The 19,638-nt window shown below is 36.8% G+C and overlaps 1 protein-coding gene across 6 annotated transcripts in view, besides 1 other annotated feature; it reads right to left on the bottom strand.

The window, feature by feature from the left end:
- The window catches only part of ARHGAP24 (Rho GTPase activating protein 24), a 527,517-nt gene that overhangs the window by 204,231 nt on the left and 303,648 nt on the right, over positions 1-19,638 (bottom strand). For 2 of the 6 annotated variants that reach the window (NM_001042669.2, NM_001346093.2), the window contains exon 1: positions 19,471-19,638. The exons of 3 other annotated variants lie outside the window; for them this stretch is intronic. The gene's annotated coding sequence lies outside the window, so the exon portion shown is untranslated. One more of the 6 variants, XM_011532300.3, reaches the window with a different exon arrangement.
- Positions 9,267-9,768: an enhancer, noted in NCBI's record as "NANOG hESC enhancer chr4:86709821-86710322 (GRCh37/hg19 assembly coordinates)". NCBI's record gives its function as "activates a minimal SCP1, AML or CMV promoter by ChIP-STARR-seq in primed H9 embryonic stem cells {active_cell/tissue: H9 hESC(primed)}" and the evidence as "EXISTENCE:reporter gene assay evidence [ECO:0000049][PMID:30033119]".

The raw sequence follows: 19,638 nt of genomic DNA, 5'->3' as shown, positions 1-19,638 counted from the left end.
TGATCACTCCAAAAAGCTCCTTCTTGCTCCTTTATAGTCACACTCTCTCCCCAGTCCCAACTCTTGGCACTCACAGATTAGTTCTCCATCACTATAATTCTGCCATTTCTAAGAATTTTATATGAAATGTAATCATTCTGTAGGTTGCCATTTGAGATATGCTTTTCACTGAGCATAATGCCTTGGGTTCCATCCAAATTGTTGAGTTATATCAGATGACACAGGCATACCACTATTGCTCGGGGAATATGTTTAGTTAAGTAGATGGGGCCCCTCATCATTAAAAAAGAAGTTATATCTTGCAACTTTTTGATTCAGTTTTAACAGAAATTCTAGGTTTGAAACCACAAACATTGAATTTCCTTTTTTAGTAGTAAACTCAAGGGATTTGACTAAGCTGGATGACTTTAATTTCCTTTTATGATCTAGAACCTTGTAAAATGATTTTAAAAATAAAGCCCAACAGGATATAAGGCATTTAAGGCATGCAGTAAATTCTGTAGTTTTGCTCTTCAGATATTGTGTCTCTATTTATTCAAGGTTGTTTTGCCCCCCTCCTTTCCCCTCCGAAATAATTACTTTAGTCTGATAATGGCATTCTGAGGAGGGCAGGGTTGGGAAAGCATAATATCTAATGAGGTCAAAAATAATAACACATCTTCTGGCTTTGGGGATGCCATGTGGCACAATTCAGGCTAATTAGAGTCAACATACTAACTTCTGGGATTTTTGTGACAATTGACAAGAAGAGAAATTTTGTTCTGCTGAATTCTTCATACCATAATATGGAGGCAGCCAGCCTAGAATGAAACTACCCAGAAGAAAGCAATGCTGAGAAATGGAGAAAAAGCAAATCCTGCTAACATCATTTGAATATTTAGATCAGTCCACCTTAGCTATAAATTAATCCTTTTGCCTGCTCTGTGAAAATGGATATGTCCCTTTAAAAATGTTTCCTTTGCCGGCCGGGCGCAGTGGCTCACGCCTGTAATCCCAGCACTTTGGGAGGCCGAGGCGGGTGGATCACAAGGTCAGGAGATTGAGACCATCCTGGCTAACACGGTGAAATCCTGTCTCTACTAAAAATACAAAAAAATTAGCTGGGCGTGGTGGCGGGCGCCTGTAGTCCCAGCTGCTGGGGAGGCTGAGGCAGGAGAATGGCGTGAACCCGGGAGGCGGAGCTTGCAGTGAGCCGAGATTGCGCCACTGCACTCCAGCCTGGGCAACAGAGCAAGACTCATCTCAAAAAACAAAAACAAAAACAAAAAAAAAAACAAAAAAAATTTTTTTTCCTTTCCCAGCTGCTACCATGCTAAACTCTATCATCAGTAGAGGGCGATAGAGAGACACTGCAGAAGAAAATGGGATTTTGCTTCCTAGAGCCTGTATGCTGGCTCCGCAGGCTCCTGCAGCACAGGCAGCTTCTCCAGCACCCAGCCCCTCCAGTGTACACACCTTCCTCAGTGCCCAGCTTCTGCAGTCCCTCCTCACAAAGCAGTTTCGTAGCAGAGTCCTCTAGTGAGATACCTCCACATGAATTTTTCTGGCACTCTGGAGGGCTAATTTCAAGCATGAAATGAAGGAGGACTTGGCAGAAAATTCTATGGGCACAGCACCACCGTGAGGTCTAGTGAGTCAAGGCCATAGCGTCTCCAGAGAGCTCTGGATCTCAGCCTCGGGTATGAGCTTTTCCTTGGGTGCTCAATTCCCCCCGACAGAAGTAGTGGCTGCTCCTTAGATCTGCTATTCTTATATTCTTTAGAGTACTTTTTACTTATTAGCCAATCCCTGCATACTCTAATTCCCTGTAATAGTTAATCATTCTTTATATTAAACTGTCCCTGTTCAAATTACTATGCGGTTTCTCTCTCCTGATTGGACCCAGATTGATACGCCATGCCTGAAGGCTGATCTTCCCTTGGACTTCTCAATTTTATGTTCTAATAAATTCCATTTTTTTGCTGATGTTGGCTTGAGTTGAGTTTTTGTAACTAGAACTAGAAAAGTTCTGATACAACTGAGATGCATTAAATTAATAGGAAGGCTAATGTAGAGAAAATTATTTTAGAAAGCCCCATATTTTTTAAAGATAGACTTGATATTCAAACACTGTTAACAAAAATTCAAATTCTAGCAAACTTTTTTCTCAGCTACTTAGGAATAATATTATAATGATAACTTGGAATTTTCTCTAAATTGTATATATGTGTGTGTGAGTGTGTGTGTGTGTGTAGTAGGTATAAAACTAAACTGTGGGTAAATTTCACAACTCTGATACAAGAATGTATAGGTTGGTGCAAAAGTAATCACGGTTTTTACTATTACTTTTAATGGCAAAAACTGTGATAACTTTTGCACCAACCTAATATTATGAGGGACATGTTTCATGCAGCATACCTTCCCACATCCAGGGAACAGCCCTTCTTCCAGGGAATTCTGGGAACTCTGTGATGGTGAATCAATGCAATCAAACATTAAGCAGTTAATGCACCTATATTGATCCAGAGACTATCCAATATTAACATGTGTGAATGAGTCAAGTTGAGCATGTGTGAATGAGTGAGGGAAGATTTAATATATTAATAAGATACAAGTACAATAAGCTGTGTATCCTTAAGCAAAGAAATACTACAAGTTACTTTTAGTTTTGGCTTTGTGTTTTTATTATTTTGTGTTTGCTCTTAGCTTAATTTTTTTTTTACCATATTACATTAACTGAAAATATCTCCCCTATTTGAGGAAGAGACATAAATTGTGTGGTCATGTTAAAATTACAAAATAACAAAATCTGTAAGGTCTCTCAAAGATACTATCCAAGTGAGAAAATAACATACAAATAAAGAGTCTTGTTCCAGATTCTGATTGCCAAAATACAAGAAGGACCCCCATAATTTGGATATGAGTATTTAATAATTGTCACTTATCTACAAATTTCCAAATAATTAAAATGACAAGAAAAATATTCTAGGTAGAATTTGCCACTAAAGTCAGATCAATAATATTTTAAAACTTAAAGAACCATTGACAAAAACCCAAACAAGCAGGGTGTCAACTCTATTATGCTGGAATCTACAACCAATACACCATATTGCATTCCAGAGGGAGAAAAAGGAAGGGAATAGAAAATAGAGCCAACACAGAGAGAATGATGAAGAAAAGGCCATTAGATTATTACTGTATTTTCTTGCCTCAGGAATAACATTAATTCCTATGTATGAACTTTGTATAAATTTCTATATCCATGCACACATCAGTTCTGAGACTGATGCCAGTTTTGAAAGTGTTGAAGTAGGCAATACTGTAACATGGAATGGAAGAAGCATGGTGGTGAGAGGTAATATTCCTCTGTTTTCCTGGAGGGACTTCCTTGGCACTGGAGATTATCTACGAATTCCGAAAAGGATCTTTGCTGAGTAAACATTATTCCTTTTCCCCAGTCATTATACTTCTCAAGCTGTTGTTTAAGGGGGATAACCCAAGAGGTACAAGAGGGTGGACCTTTATTTCATCAGCTGCAGAACAATGTCACACCAACCAGTGCAGATGAAAAGAGAGTGCCTGCATGGCTGCAGGCTCAGTGTTACTCATTCAAAAGTCACATAATTGAAATTGTCTAAAATATGTTGAAGCTAATGTTTAAATAAAAGGATTTGCAGGTCGGGTGCAGTGGCTCTCCCCTGTAATCCTAGCACTTTGGGAGGCAGAGGTGGGCAGATCACGAGGTCAGGAGTTCAAGACCAGCCTGGCCAACATGGCGAAACCCTGTCTCTACTGAAAATACAAACATTAGCCAGGTGTGGTGGCGCATGCCTGTAATCCTGGCCACTCGGGAGGCTGAGGGAGGAGAATTTCTTGAACCCAGGAAGCGGAGGTTGCAGTGAGCCAAGATCATGCCACTGCACTCCAGCCTGGGGGTCAAGGTGAGACTCTGTCTCGAAAAAAAATAAAAAAGAATATGCAGTAACACTTTGAAGATGAAAGGATATTTAAAAAGCATTGTATACAATTATATTTGGGAAGTATTCTTTCTCCCTTTGTACACATCATTGATCATGTCACTGGCTTAATAATATTACAAAAAGTGTTCTGAAAACTTTAGAAAAATAATCTTCAGTGGCATATAACATCTCTGTTTCACTCTACCACTTTAGTATTTCAATGGAATTCAGATATCCTTTTGACAGATGTAAACTGCATTATAATGGCTTTACACAGCCCCCATTCGGCTGTTGGAAACTACTCTTACAAATAGCAGAAATGGTAATAGAAAATAGACCCTTCTGTTAAAAATAAAGATATAGTACAAAGAATTTTGTCCCTCAGAGTTCCAGAATATATAGTTTTATCCCTCTCTATGATATATTAATATATTTGGATTGTTTGATTAAGCCATTTCCTCTGAGCATGAGAAATACTGTTCCCAAAAGAAAATAGCAAGTTGTATGACAACTCTTCTTAGTCACTGCTTCATACTCTTAAATAAATCACAAAACTTTCTTCTCAGGTGATGCCTTAGTAAATTCTCTTAAAAACTGTTCTATTTATATCCCCAGAATTTTGCTGTTTCCTTTTCTTATATTATGCTTACAATGAATCACAAATAATCAAAAAGAAGGCACTGCTTCTTGTGTGTGTGTTTTTGGCAACATGTGGTGTGCCATGAGCAGTGGATAAGTATGAAGGAAAACACACTTAGGGACTACTTATATTTTCTTTTCTATGTACACATAAGAACATTCTATTTTTGTGACAGGAAATACTCTAATCTCATTCCCTCACATATTTTATCTGAGATTTTAAAAAAAGAGTATACACAAAATGAGGGTCATCATTTTAAAACTTTTAAGACATGTTTAAAAATATAATGTGATGACAGAGTTTGCCAGATGCCATAAATAGAACTAAAACAGGCAGGATTATCCTATTCTTTGAATATTCTGTGGGAAATAAGGTTTGAAATTTCTACTTGCCCTGTTTTCATTTTTTTCAGGCTATGTTTTAGGAGCTTAGTAACTTACCAGCCCCACTATTTCAAAACCATGGCCAGAAATCAAAGCAGACATCTCTAAGAAAAAATCTTTTAAGATCTAGAAGCAAAAGACATGCTTAACTTTGTTTCTTTAAGGATTCTTTATCACAAAAGCTTGTCGTAAATGAGCCGTTTGAATTATCACTGGAGTTTTTCGAAATATACATTTTAGAGTTACTTCAGACTCAAATATGTGCATTAAGCTTACTATTTAGACAAACCTAAAGCCAATAAATTCCATGCTACTTCATGTTTCTACAGGTAGAGGGTAGTGAATGGTGTGTGCTTTAACATTTATGACCTCCTGCTAACACAAAATTTCATTTAAAAAATTTATTGGTGTTATATAACTGGAAACTAACTTTGCTTCTCTTATATCTGTCAACTCTCTATTTATCTTATTGTCTTTAATTTATGATGCCAGAAAAAATATTACCCTATTTCAACAAGAATTTCTTCAGTACTGAAAAACAATGGATTCTCTGCATACAGTGACATTTTTGAGCCTAATTAAATAATGACAGGGAGTTAAAACAAGTCCAAGTATTAGTTGATGGGTGCAATTTGTTGATGTTCTTCAGTGGTGCTTTACAATAAGATCTGACAGAGCTTCAAACTGTACTACAATAAATCAACTTGATGATCTCAGATTTCTAAAACAGGAACTATACTGGATCTTTGTGATCAGATATTTCCTGAGAAAATAAAGCCAAACTGAGAAAATGTGTGTAGAGAGAGCTGAGACAATCAAGGAGAGAAATTGCCTGAAGTAAGAAAAATGTTTTTTTAAGAAAGGAAAAGGAGAGTCCATAGGCTGGATTTCAGGGAAACATTTTTTTTTGAGGGTTCAGATAAGCTATGAGGACAAATGCAAGAAATGAAAAAAATTTTAAGAGCTATTGCAATAAATTCAGAATTGTAACATGTTCTAATATAGTCCAAGAAACTTCACTGGATTAAAGAAAATATTTATTGTTACTGAGCCATGTTTCTTTAAAGCAGTTTGTGCTATGAGTAGAACATGTGTGGCTTGGCTTTTATATTGGTAACACGGGATACTCCATTTTTCTTCCTTGGCCTTGATTTTAGGATGTTTCTTCAGGACCAGTATATTCTGAATTCTCTTAATCCTGACAATCATGTTTTATTTGAAATATAGTTTTTAAAACCGTCAAAAGTTTAGATTTTTATTGGAGTATGACATTATATTTTCCCATATTTGTATTATTGATTACTAAATTGCTTCAAGCTCATTTAAAAAAAAGCCTGATTGTTAGGACAAATTAGAATTGCCACCCCATTTGTTCCCATTATCAATATTCAAATGTCATCATTGACAGTTTTGTTGTATATTTCTGCTCTCTACTATACATCTTCAAGAACACAAATTTTTCAGTATCGTTTTTGCTTCCTTGTAACTCAAACCTGACCACATAATTTAACTAAAAAGCACAGTTCTTTTCATTAGGCTGGCTCTTGAGCTCCATTAAAGGATACACAATGCACAACTGGACACTACTGACCACCTCCACCTTTACTTGGGAAATTCCCATTTCCTATCAAAACATTTGAAATTTTTTTTGCCTCCATGTCCGCATTTGTACTACTCAAGATAGGCTAAATTATGCTGCACTAACAAGCAGTTCTACAACAAAGATTATTTCTGACTTATACCAGTCCAATGTGGGTCAGCAGAGTCCTTAGCTCATCATAGTCACTCAAGCACCTCAATATGTGCTTCCATGATCCCATAGCCATTGGAAGGGCACACGATGACCCCAATCATTGCACCTAAATCTTCTACATGGAAGTGGGACACATCACTTCTGCTCATTCTTCATTGGTCAAAGCAAGTTATCTGGCCATGACTAACTTTAAAGGAGGGGAGAGATATAATTGATATAACTCTCTTTCGTGCCTGGAGAGAAGAGAGGTGGAAATATTTGGTGAATACCTTTCATAACTATCTTGGTATTTTAACACATACAATTTCTTTCCTGGTGTCACTTTTCAAATCTTAATCACTTAGTAGAGAGCAATATTTTACGTTTGTACCTCTTATCTTTGCCGTTAAATATGCCTTCTTGCTCAATCTGAATATGTTATAGTATCAGAATTTATAACACTGAACACATTGATGATAAGTTCATTCTGAAAAACAAAAATATAAAAGGCCTATGCAGATGCCCACAATATGGACATTTAGTTCTAACCCTACCTACTTTTTCAGGCAGCTGCCCTCATACGCCATTTAATGGAGTTCTTCCCTTTCTGTGATTCTTTATTTCTTTGTTTGGTTAAAAAGGGGAAGGACACAACAGGTTTTGACTAGCATTGGATTCTCAATCTGCTGCATAAGCCTACTATTTAGTTCTTACAGACCTTAGTGACAATAAATGTTTACTGATTAATGGGTAAAAGCCTGATATATTTATTTTTAGACAAGGTTTTAATTTTTTCCAATGTAGTTCATGAAGAGGAAAATCATATGTGAAACAGTCACACTAAACTTGGCTGAAAACAAAAGGCTATGACTACACTGCCTGGAAGAATGCTTATTCAATATTCCCTAGACTAGCATATTTCTCAGTAGAGACAAGAGCATATACTGTAGCCATGGAAAATCTGGAGAACTAAGCATTTGAAAATACCATTTATACTACATCAAACTTGAGCCCACTCAGGCAATGTAAATCTTTCCCATATGTGATGACTACTTGTTGTCCAGCTTCCAGTTCTAAAGAGACACTGTAAATATCCCAAATAGTCCTTTTTAACTCCTACCAAGAGTCTGTCTTTATGCTTGTGGTTGAAAGAACAGTTCTCTAATAAATGTGAAGGAGAGATTTTTTACTCTGGGAAGAGCAAAAGGATATAATCTTGTATTTCAGGTATAAATTGAAACCATTTTCATATCTCAGAATGAGTGTAAATTTCAATAAAAATAAGTTTCCCTTAAAATCTTAGAGACAATAAAACTAAAGACAGACAAATGATTGTTTTCAAGATTGATTGTATCTTGAATTATAAATTGGAACCTAAAATTCTCAATGTTTTGGTGCAAGATACAGTTATTGGAACCATTTTCAGAGCTTCAAATCAAGATATGGTGTGAAAAAGAATGATTTGTGTGCTACATGGGATGCAAGAGACAGTCCGAGAGGTATAATACAGCTAGTAAATTGTCAACTTCCCAAGGCATTTAGATGACTTAAAGCAGTGCTTTCCAAAGTGTGGTCCATGGACCACCTGTGCCATAATCACCTGGAGTTTTTGTTAAAATGCATATTCTGGGGCCCCATATCAGATTAGTTGAATCAGATACTTTGGGCATAGGGCCTAGAAATTTGCATTTTAAGTTCTTCAAGTGATTTCTGCACCTAATAAAAAAAATTGTAATGTACACAGCTTTATTGAGAGAAGAAAAGAGGAAAGGATATGTAAAGTCAGGGCATTGGAAGACAGTCCAGAAACGTAAGCAATGACTAATGAAACATTCTTACTTAGATCTTAAAGCAAGGAGATACAAAAATCCAATAGTCTTAGAAGACAAAATATCATACTGATGGTTGAGTAGGACTTCTCAAGAAGATTCTAGTATATCCTTAGCATTGTCTCTCGAGGAGAAGGCAATCATAATCTCCAGCAATAGTTTCTACAGTGAATGCACTGGAACGGTTGGCATCAACTTCTCCATTCCCCTAAGACCTTCTGGCAGTTTACCACGAATGTCAAAAGTCCAGAACAGGGTAGCCCTGAAGAATACCTGACATTCTCTATAGGTTTGCAATATAATACGCTTTTCTGTACTACCACTTGGCTCTCACTGCCAACTCAGTTTTTCTTCATACTCTGTAGCATCAGATGTTGGTTCTATTATAAGTTGAGTTTTTGCTTTTTTGGTGTCTCTGTTCCTATCTAATTCCCAGTGCTCGATGAGCCTGAATCTTTCTTGCCATTTCACTCTTAAGAAGAGTTTTATCCCTGAACTCCAGCCAACCTGCGGACTGATTCTCTCTTTAAAAAAAAAGAAAAAGAAAAAGTCTGCCTGATCTGTTTAGTATTGCCTTTTCTTTGATTCTCTGTAGAGTTTCTATGCCATTTATGGGCATGCATCTCTTTGAATCTTGATGTGTTCACCAACACAGGTGCTCTCCAAAATCCCATCTTTTTTTTTTTTTTTTTTAATGGAGGTTCCATTACATAGGCATGATTAAGTAAATTATTGACCAAGGGTAATTAACTCAGACTTCAGCCCCTCTCCTGCCTCTGGAGGTTGAGTGCTGGGACTGAAAGTTCCAACATTCTAATTGTGCCTTGGCCTTTCTGGAGACCAGACCCTATGCTGGAGCTATCTAGGGGCTCCAGCCACAAGTCATCTCATTAGCATACAAAAGACACTCTCATCACTCTAGAGATTCCATGGATTTTGAAAGCTGTGTCCCAGGAGAAAGGAACAAAGGCCAAATATGTATTTCTTATTATGCCACATCCTCGAGAAAACAGAAGTAATTTTCCTTTCTGTCCTTGATCTCAATGGAGCCCATATCTTAGAACGGGTGTTACTTTCTGGGAATCTTAGCTGTACTTTAAGAACTTGGGAAAAGATCACTCATTACCAGTATGGGCTCAGTTTATAAGGCACTTTCAGCCAAGCAACAATCCTTTTGAGTGATTTATGAAAATTTCTGCATTTGCTTTGTGTCACTTAAGATAACACTGGTAAGGAGTGGAAAGATAATAAATGTTTGTGATCCTTAGAGACCAGAATTTGTATGAAATATAAACTAAAATCTGAAGCTCTATTAAACCGTCTAAAGTGGAGATTCTCCTGTAAGATTACTTTATTATTCCCTAATCCTCTCACCTCTATGGTCAAGACCTAACCAGGTCAAATCCTACACTTCGTATTTCAAGCTTTGAAATCCCTCCAGCTTCAAAAAAATAAAGTATACTTTACACTTTCGATAAGATTATAAACCATTATTACCAACCAAAATTTTTAATAGCAAAATAGATAGCTAAAAATGATTGGTTTAAGTTTAAAATATAATTTGTGTAGAAGGAATAGATGTTAGTCTATAAAACCAGGTGTATAAGACATAACTTCCTTATTTTTTTATATTGCCAGGTGGCTGAAACTTAATTTTGATTAACTTACTTTCTTTATATCATCTGATGTCAGGAACAGAGAGAGTTACATGTCCTGGGTGGGGATGAGGGGGAATCTGGTCTGTGGTCATCATCTCCTGCGCACATAGGCATCTCTGATATACTGGCTTCCTCATCCCTGTGTGTTCCTAGGCTTAAGTCCACAGACCCTGTGGCTACGTTTGGGCTTCTCTGGATTTGTCTCTCTCACCACTCCTTCTCTTCCTTTCTTGGCTGCATTTAGGGCATGGGGTTAACCTGGGAGGCTGTTTTGGACACATCTTCTTAGACACCCATTTCTAATGACCTGGCACTATGCAGGGCACTAAAAAGTGATTCAAGTTTTGCAGCCTTCATGCACTTTACATGGGAAGTGATCTACAGGTTCCTTTGCTCTTAGATTTTCCCAGTGTGATCTGGGTTTTCAGTTCTGTCCCCCATGTACTCAGCTCAGGGAGTACCCAGCATGGTGTGGCAGAACTTGGAGCACTTAGGATCCTGCCACCCCTCAAGAACCTGATGTCTCTTTGTATCTCCTCTGATTCTGCCTTTGGCTCCATTACCATGAAAATTATTAATATCTGCATTATTTGCTCTTAGTGGTAGGGTAAAGAAATCTGTTTTATTTTGTTGTTGTCATTATAATTTAAAATTTGAACCCTGAGTCCTTATGGAGTTAGATTTTTTTGAAACTCAAAAGCTGTTACAAACAAAAAATCCAAAACACTTTTTTTTGAATTATCCCTTTTCTTAGGCAATATTTGTCACAAAATAAATGGGATTGGAGCAAAGCCAAATGCAAGGAGGTAGACCACGAGCTAACATCTCAAAATATCTCTCAAATGTCAGCATTGAGTCTAAGTCCCCATCATGTGAAGCACAACTGCTGAAACTCCAACAAATGGTGAAGAATCTAAGATAAACAAAGTTGAATGAGTCACCTGAATGGTCATCTGCTTTATTATGAAATCTGAGCAAATAAGAAATGAAATATATGGAGAGCAAAGGCCTGGAATATTTTACCAAAAGGGAAGAAAAGCAAGCTCATATCCTCTTGTTAGTGTCTTTTAACTTTCCAGTCACTTAATTAAATGTCCACTGCGACAGGCCGGGCAATCTGTCAGCACATTCTCACAGAGGATATGTCCACATTTGTAACAAGACCAGAGCAATACTGGACCCCAAAATTTGGGATTTGTGGGTGAAACACTGTGCTCAGACAAATATGTAAGACAAAGCCCCTGCCCTCAAAGAGCTTACAGTCCAGCTGAGCTTGAATGGACTGGTTAGTAAGAAGTCAAAATGTGAAGTGCTGAAAGTCACAGCAAAGTTTTGAAAGAGGAGGGATGAAGTAAAGTGATTCAGAAGTAATGATTCCAGAAAAACAAGAACTGGGAAAACTTCTCTGGGCTGAAAAACCACCTGCATGTGGCAAACCATACAAAGGTGAGAAAGTACAGAAATGCTGAAGCCAGCCATGTATATGAGAAAGTGGGCAGAGTTAGTGACAAGCCTGAGGGGAAGGAAGAAGGGAAGCATTCAACATTTACTCTAATTGGGTTTGTTGTCCCAAACAATTTCCCCCAATATCTCTGTGTGTGTGTGTTCATAAGAGATACAGTACTTCATATTATAAAACTGCCACAATATCATGTTAATACTTTTTGAAATGCATATCTCTGACACAAAGATTTGCTTTACTTCAGAGAATACTGTGGAGCATTGGGAGCTGCACTTTGGGGGCGATTCATAAATATTTTATTATTTTATTTGTTATGTATGCCACTAATTCCCATTTCAAGAGCTACAGAAGTTCAAAGTCAAGAAAACATTGTGTGGAAGGCTTCCCCTACTAAAAAGTAGCTCCTATGAATGAAAGAGGATGGATTTCTAAGATGTTATTCCTGCTGACAGCCAAAGATGAAGAGAGAAAGGAAGAGAAGCCTCAGGTTTATTTCTGCTGCAGGTTTGAGACTTTGCAATGGAATTAATACTCCAAGAAGTTGCCAGTATGGCTGCAGGTTCTTAATGAGGAAACACATTCTAGAGTTGCTATGTGATTATTGATAAGTTCTTAACTTAGTTTGGACAGTTTTGGTCATTAGAGAAATATGTGGGGGTTAATTACGAGATCATTAAGATCCCATCCAACTTCCCAATTGTATGACTTATGCAACTTCCATTTATAAGTAATTAGTTAATTAAGGAAATGAAATAGGCCATAGATGTTAAGAAAAAGCCTAAGTCCTTTTACAGAAATAAAAAAAAAAGGTAGTAGTGGTCTCTGAGAGAAGCATTAGAAGAAACACTAACAACAGCCTTCCAAAAACCCATACTGGGTATAAGAAATGATGGTCACTTTATCTTCCCAAAGTGACAAGGAGGTGTCACTCTGGAAAATTAATTTATGACTCTAGGGTAGCAGTTATAGCAAAATAATATTCCTGGCACATGTCTGAAGACCCTTAGTCATTACTTTGAAGTATTTCCACTTAAATTTGACAACGGCACTGATGGATTCTTAAATTGAAAGAAAGGACAGTATTCTGGCAAATGAGGCAGCCTGGTGTCAAAAAATGTGGGATAGGTTTCTGGCTACTCCAGTTGCTTGTTTTGTGACACTAAGAATAAATAAAGAAAACCACATATAAGCATTGAACAAAGGAAAGTGTTTATTTGCGTTATGTAGTTTGTAATTGTTAAAAAGAAAAAAAATCTGTTTTACTTTTCTTGCTGCTCTTTCTTAAAAAAACAAAACAAAACAAAATAACAACAACAACAACAAAAACAGAACAAGGAGATGATTTTATCTCAAAATAAAATATAATACTCACTTGCCTTTGTTTTACCACCACTTGCAATCGGGCCAAGACCATTGGTATTATCTGAATTTAACTTTACTGTAGACTTCTTCAAAACCCAAATTGAACTCAGAGAATAAAGCAGTCTCTTTAAGATAAATTTGATTCCATTTTTATAATGTCTAGTACAAACAGAACAAAATGTTTTCTTTTGAGTGCTGAATGAACAATATATGGGAAATGCTCAGAGCACTGTGGCTGGCACATAGAAGGTTTTGACATAGGTTATTCATTATTGACACCCTGAAACTGAGTAACACACAGGATGACACACGTGAATGCACCAAAGCTGGACCTCAAATTCTGAAATTCAACTTTACAGCCTCTGCTTCTGTCCATCTGCTAAGGACTCATTGAAAAGTTGGGGGGTATAATTATATCTATCTATATTTATGTGTCTATATCTAGATAGGAAAGCAGATAGAGAGATAGAGAGATAGATAGATAGATAGATAGATAGATAGATAGATAGATAGATAGATAGATAGAGATATATAATCATCTTCAAATTGCCAAATGTATAGAGGATAGACTGTAGTAGAAAAGGATTGGGGCGGGGACAGTAGGCTAACAAGAGGGAATTAAATTCTGAGCAAGAATGTGGCCATGGAAATAAAAAGGAAAAATGCCAAGGAAATGGTTGCTAAAATTCTAATTGGCACCTGGTTGTATAAAAAGTGATGGAGGAGATGAAAGATGGAAGGCTAGTTTGACTGAGGGAAAGACATGGAGTTTGAAGCACTGGAATACCATAGACAGCATTGAATAGGAGGCCCTGACCAGCAGGGCAACTGTCTGAGGTTGTGCAGGCTGAGCAGGGGCTGAAATCCAGCTCAGTTTGCTGCCAAGCTGAAGATCCTGATGCGAGCATTGTGCATCTGGAGGAAGGGGACGTTTGTTACAACTCGCACAAAGGGTGGAAGAGGCTTTGCTGATCAGATATCCACATTGAGCTTTAAGATGAAGCCATAGGCCTATATGAAATTTTCCAAGGAAGAAAGACTAAGAGAGAAAACAAAATAAACACAGACACTGAAACCAAGAAGGTGGGAAGAAAACAGGAGCCCTCTAACAAGAGGGAAGAAAAAAAAAAGCCTAGGAGAGGGGCAGAGCCATAGGCTATGCACTAGATCTCTACAAGATCTCTAATATCAAAAGACAGAACTATTTCAAGAAGAGCATGAGGGTAAACAGTATAGATGGCAGAAAGAACAGAAGGTGAAGACAGAGATAAAAAGCTGTTGAATTTAACTGTTAATTCAGCCATCATGAGCAACCTCTGAGAGGTCATTTCAATATTGTGGTAGAAATAATGCCAAAGTGCAAAGGGCAATCAACTCAGAGGGAGGCAAGGGAGAAGAAACAAAAAATATAAATTTTTCTTGGCACCAGGAAAAAAGAACATGGTTGAAAAGGCTGAAGATTTGTTTGTTTGTTTCATGTAGAAGAGGCCTGAACATCGTTGTGCAGTGAGGAAAAGCAAAGGTGCAAGTAAAAGGACATAATTTATGAAGCAAGTCCCGGTTCCATCTTCATAAATATTTTGTTTAAAAGTTCCATAAACACCAGTGGCCCAGGAAATGCTTTAGCAAATACTCATTAACAAAATGACAGCTATTTAAAAATGTTCCCATAGCTATCATATGTTTATCACTCCTTGAGAATAAAGTCTGGCATGGAATCGTGACTGTTTTCTTTAGTATGAGAACCCTTCCACTCCCTGGGGATTTTCAGAGAATGGGGTACATGATTGACCTCTTACTCAGACAGAAGGAAATTATGCTTTCACTTCCTGCCCCCTTATGTATTTGTCACTCAGTCATTACTTCTGGCTAGATACAGATATTAGACTGAAAGCTTGGAAGCCAAGGTTCTAGATCAGTGATATTTCAGGACTAGTTCTCCTACTCTTAAAAAAAAAAAAGTGATCAGGACTCACTAATTTCCAAGTCATTTCAGTTCTGAAATAATCAAATGAGCAAAGTCATATGTAAAAGAATGCTTATCCTAATTTTATTCACAGCAGAAGTCACTGAAACAATGTAGGTCCCCAACAATAGGAGCCATGTTCTATTATGTACAGTATAACCATAGAATGGAAGAATACACAACAGTAAAATTTTTTTTCAAAGTGTTCTGATTGATATAAAACAAATAATTTCCACAATACCTACAGCAAAAGAAACAAAACCAAAAAAGAAAAGGAGGGGGGTTATAGAATAACACTTGAGACCTTCTTGTCCTCCAATTCCACTTTCTGAATTATTATTGACTGTAGATACCCGATGCTTTTTCTTCTGGCAATTTACAGTTCCAAATTACTGTTTGCTAACAGTAATTTCAGAATTTATTAAATGGCTTTGCTTAATGAACTGTTCATGTTTTAGCATGATTCAGCAGTATACTAAGTAACAAATACTCCAATAATCAAATATGAAATAAAACATAGCAGTTTTAACATCATTTTATTTGTCGATGTCTTTTTAAATTAAGGTTTGAAAGTAATAGTCATTCAACAAACATTTATTTCATGATTAAGATGTATTAATACAAAAAGAACCTTGGATTCATATTACCTCTTCAACTGTCCAGAAGCTCCAATTTAATATGTTAAACAAAGGCCAATATGTAGGAACATACTTGAGTCAGTTTGAGTATCTTTTTTCCCTGGGAGATTGTAATTGAAAATGAACTAAATGTGGATTTTTCAAAGAACAAAGCATTTATCTCTTTCTCTGTTCAACAACTTCAGAAATCTCAATATCTTCTCTTCCCTGAACACAATCAAAAGCACTAAGCTTGACAGTTCCTTGGGAAACATAAATCTTGCTCACTGAATTCTAGTTTATAAGGGGCTGAATTCTGAGGCTTCTGGAGAATTCTCATAAGGTTGTACTAAGAAGCACCCTTATAAGGTGTTATCAGTGAATGCTAACATGCATTAATTCATTTAAATGGTTGTTTCCTTTTCCAGGTTTGAAAAGTATCTTTCTAAATCGAAGTCTTCCTAAGCGTGTATTCAAAATGACACTGACATTTCAGGAATTTTAAATTTAGGTCTTATGGTACAAAAGTTCTAAATTTAAAATACATATTCTTTAGTATGTCGAATTTCCTATTTAGGTATGAACACGAAAATTAAATTTCGATTAAAATGAAAGAGGAGTCAAGTGAGGAAAAGCTTTACTGAATTGACTTAACATAGCATATTTTCAGTTTAAAACAGCGGTGTTTCAATTGGAATAACATTTCATTTTAAAATAAGTCATGCCACCTAACTGAAGGTAGGAAGCAAAAATAAGCACAATTTCTAGACAATTGTTTTTTTTTTCTTTTTTTTTTCTTTTTTTTTTTTTTTGAGATAGAATCTCACTCTGTTGCCCATATTGGAGTGCAGTGGTGTGATCTCGGCTCACTGAAACCTCCGCCTACCAGGTTGCAGTGATGCTCCTACCTCAGCCTCCCGGGTAGCTGGGATTACAGACATGCGCCACCGTGCCTGGCTAATTTTTTTATTTTTTGTAGTAGAGATGGGGTTTCACCATGTTGGCCAGGCTGCCCTCGAACTCCTGACCTCAAGTGATTCGTCCGCCTTGGCCTCCCAAAGTGCTGGGATTACAGGTGTGAATCACCATGCCTGGCCTAGAGAATTGTTTTAGACAAAGTTAACAAACATATGCATATCCCAAATTCATTATTGCAGACAAAAGCCAGTCTCTAATTCATTGTTTCAAACAGAAAAGTTTGTCATATACACCATCTGATGCTTTAACACTTAGGAAAAATTTCTACAGTGACTAGGTGAAACTTGTATTTTTTTAAAAATTAAAGAAAAATGAGCTTCTAATACAAAAGTCTTCACAATGTGATTCCAAATAAAGTTAAATGATCAAGTATTTAGCCAAGGAATCTAATTAAAGTTGAAACATAGAATTGCCCTGGACTCAGCTTATAGCTTAATAAATGTATGTAATATATCCAGTTTTTTTCTTTTGTAGAGTGAGATTAATAAAAGTGACTACTATCATTTTCAAGATCTTTGAGAAATCAGTGATTCGTTTTGCTCTAAAATGCACAATATAAAAATATTAGAAGAAAACACATATTGTCATATATTGTGCTACTAATTCATTGTACATGGTTTATAAAATTGCTTTGTAGTGTTTTTCAGCTTAAAAGAACTTGTAAGTTAGAAAGCCATTCAAGAAATCAGAAAAATCACTGAGAAAATAAATCTTGCCTTATTCATTGTTTTCTTAAGCATAATCTCCACACAGAAGAATTGAATAAACCAGAAAATGAATATTTTTTTCCTTTTCTCTCTTTCCTACAAAGCATTATTATGCTGTTTCCCAGCTAGACATGCATGTGAACAGCGTGATTGTGAATGGGACTAAAATAAAACACTTAGTGCTTGATTAATATTAGGTATGCCTCTTGGGATTTGTTTAGTCACTGATTCCTTGACACACACCTCCAGTAACTTTATAAAAAGAACAAACCACACTTTCTGTATAAGATGCAGTAACACATTACTTATTCCAGAACTACTTCCATGGCAACCTCTACTACAGAACACAACTAAGAACTTGGACACAAGCCAAGTGTCTCCTGAGCACCCAAAATAGATGTCACTGTGTCTATGTCCTTTGGCACATGCACGTTTCTCATAAGAGAATCTCTTGGACCCTCAGATAAAGTTATTGCCTCTTATTCGTCCATAATTTTTTATAAACTTGTTCATTTTCTGGTGTTCTTGCTCCCAGCACAAAATAATCATGAAGAGGTTGTTGAGGTTGAAGGAAGTTATTAGAGATATGCAAACTGTCTACACCAGTAAGTAAAGAAGTCACTCTTCAATATGGAAGGTGGACACAGGAGGAAAAAAAAAGTCCTATAAAAATAATACAAGAATTAAAAAAAGGCTGGGCGCAGTGGCTCACGTTTGTAATCCCAGCACTTTGGGAGGCCGAGGTGGGTGGATCATGAGGTCAGCAGTTCAAGACCAGCGTGGCCAACATGGTGAAACCCCATCTCTACCAAAATTACAAAAATTAGCCAGGCATGGTGGCAGGCCCCTGTAATCCCAGCTACTCTGGAGGCTGAGGCAGGAGAATCACTTGAATCCAGGAGGTGGAGGTTGCAGTGAGCCAAGAGCGTGCCATTGCACTCCAGCCTGGGCGACAGAGCAAGACTCCATCTCAAAAAAATAAAACTAAAAAATAAAAAATAAACAGTGATTATGTGACCATTTGATCTAAGAATTAATAGCCTTATATACCATGCAATGTATTACTGCATTATAGAAAAATTCTATAATATGTATCCATGAGTAATACTGAGAAATTAAGGGAACATTAAATTGCATTTAGTCCCCTCCAGAGAGAGCTCAAAACATATAGTGGATCTCATGAAGAGAATGATCCACAAGTGGCTAAATTCTTTGAAAAGCTTTTCAAGTTTTCAGTGGTAAAAGTTTACTTTTTAAACTTCACTTTATGGAAAATTCACATATATTGAAACCCTTAATGTTCTCCATTGTTGTTTTATTGGCCAGCAGCAAATATTATATACCAGCTAGCCAGGGCCTCGGGGAAAGAGTGACACCTGGAATGCTAGGGTACACAGGGATTTTTTTCTGTGCCGCATTGGGCTATTCCCCTTCTGCTCTGGAAGACCCTCTATGGATCGGTGACTTGAAATCTTTTTGAAAATTTCACTCTTCTTAGAAATGTTCCTCCATTAAGGTGAATGAGCTTACACTAAGATAAGCTTCATTAAAAAAAGAAAAGTAGGCTTATTAGAATTTTTTTAAAAAATAATGAATAAAGAGAAGGAAGGATTAAAATTAACAGCTAAATATAGAAGCAAACTGGAGGCAAAAACCCCAATTCAAAATAACTGTGTTTCCCAGGTCAGATCTACCAAGCTGTGATGAGTTTAGTGAGCCTTGACTGAATCAGTTAAAGTGCCTAGACTGCCCTGCCCAGGTTCTCTTGTCTGATTGGCTCCATATTAGTTCTATATTTCAAGTTGAAGATTCATTAAGCTCCCCCTCCTGCCCAGTCAAGAACATTCTGTACATTTTGTAATGCTAAAGTATATTTATCTTTATCCAACACAAGCAATAAAACACAAAAACCACACATGACAAGATACAACAAAGAAACAAACCTAAACTAAGCTTTAAAATAAAACAACAGCAACAATCATCTGGTTCCTAAAAACACTAACAAAACAAAGCAAAATCCGAGTAGTTTCAAATATCAACAGCCAGAAAATAATACAGTTAAAAAGCTAAAATATTTTCAAGGGTATATTTTCTCTCAAAATAGAGGTGAAGAGGGAGGAAAAAAAGGTCAAATGACCACTAAATACTTGTCCCCAAAACAAATGAACCCTGAAGATTTAAATGAGTAAAAACAGTACCTTATAAGTCACTGGTCTGGTCTACGCACAGCTGTTCCCAGTGCCGACTCTTGTTTAACTGTCCACTGCCTTCAGTTTAAAGTTAATTCTTTTGGCAAAAAAGTACAGAGCTTGTCTGGAAAATGCTGTTTGGACACAAACCATTCCTTTCAAAGCGGTGGTAGCTAT

The sequence above is a fragment of the Homo sapiens genome, chromosome 4, assembly GCF_000001405.40.
Source record: "Homo sapiens chromosome 4, GRCh38.p14 Primary Assembly".
NCBI classification, from domain to species: Eukaryota; Metazoa; Chordata; class Mammalia; order Primates; family Hominidae; genus Homo; species Homo sapiens.
The sequence above is the reverse complement of the archived record's forward strand: the minus strand, read 5'-3'. Positions and strand labels throughout refer to the sequence as shown.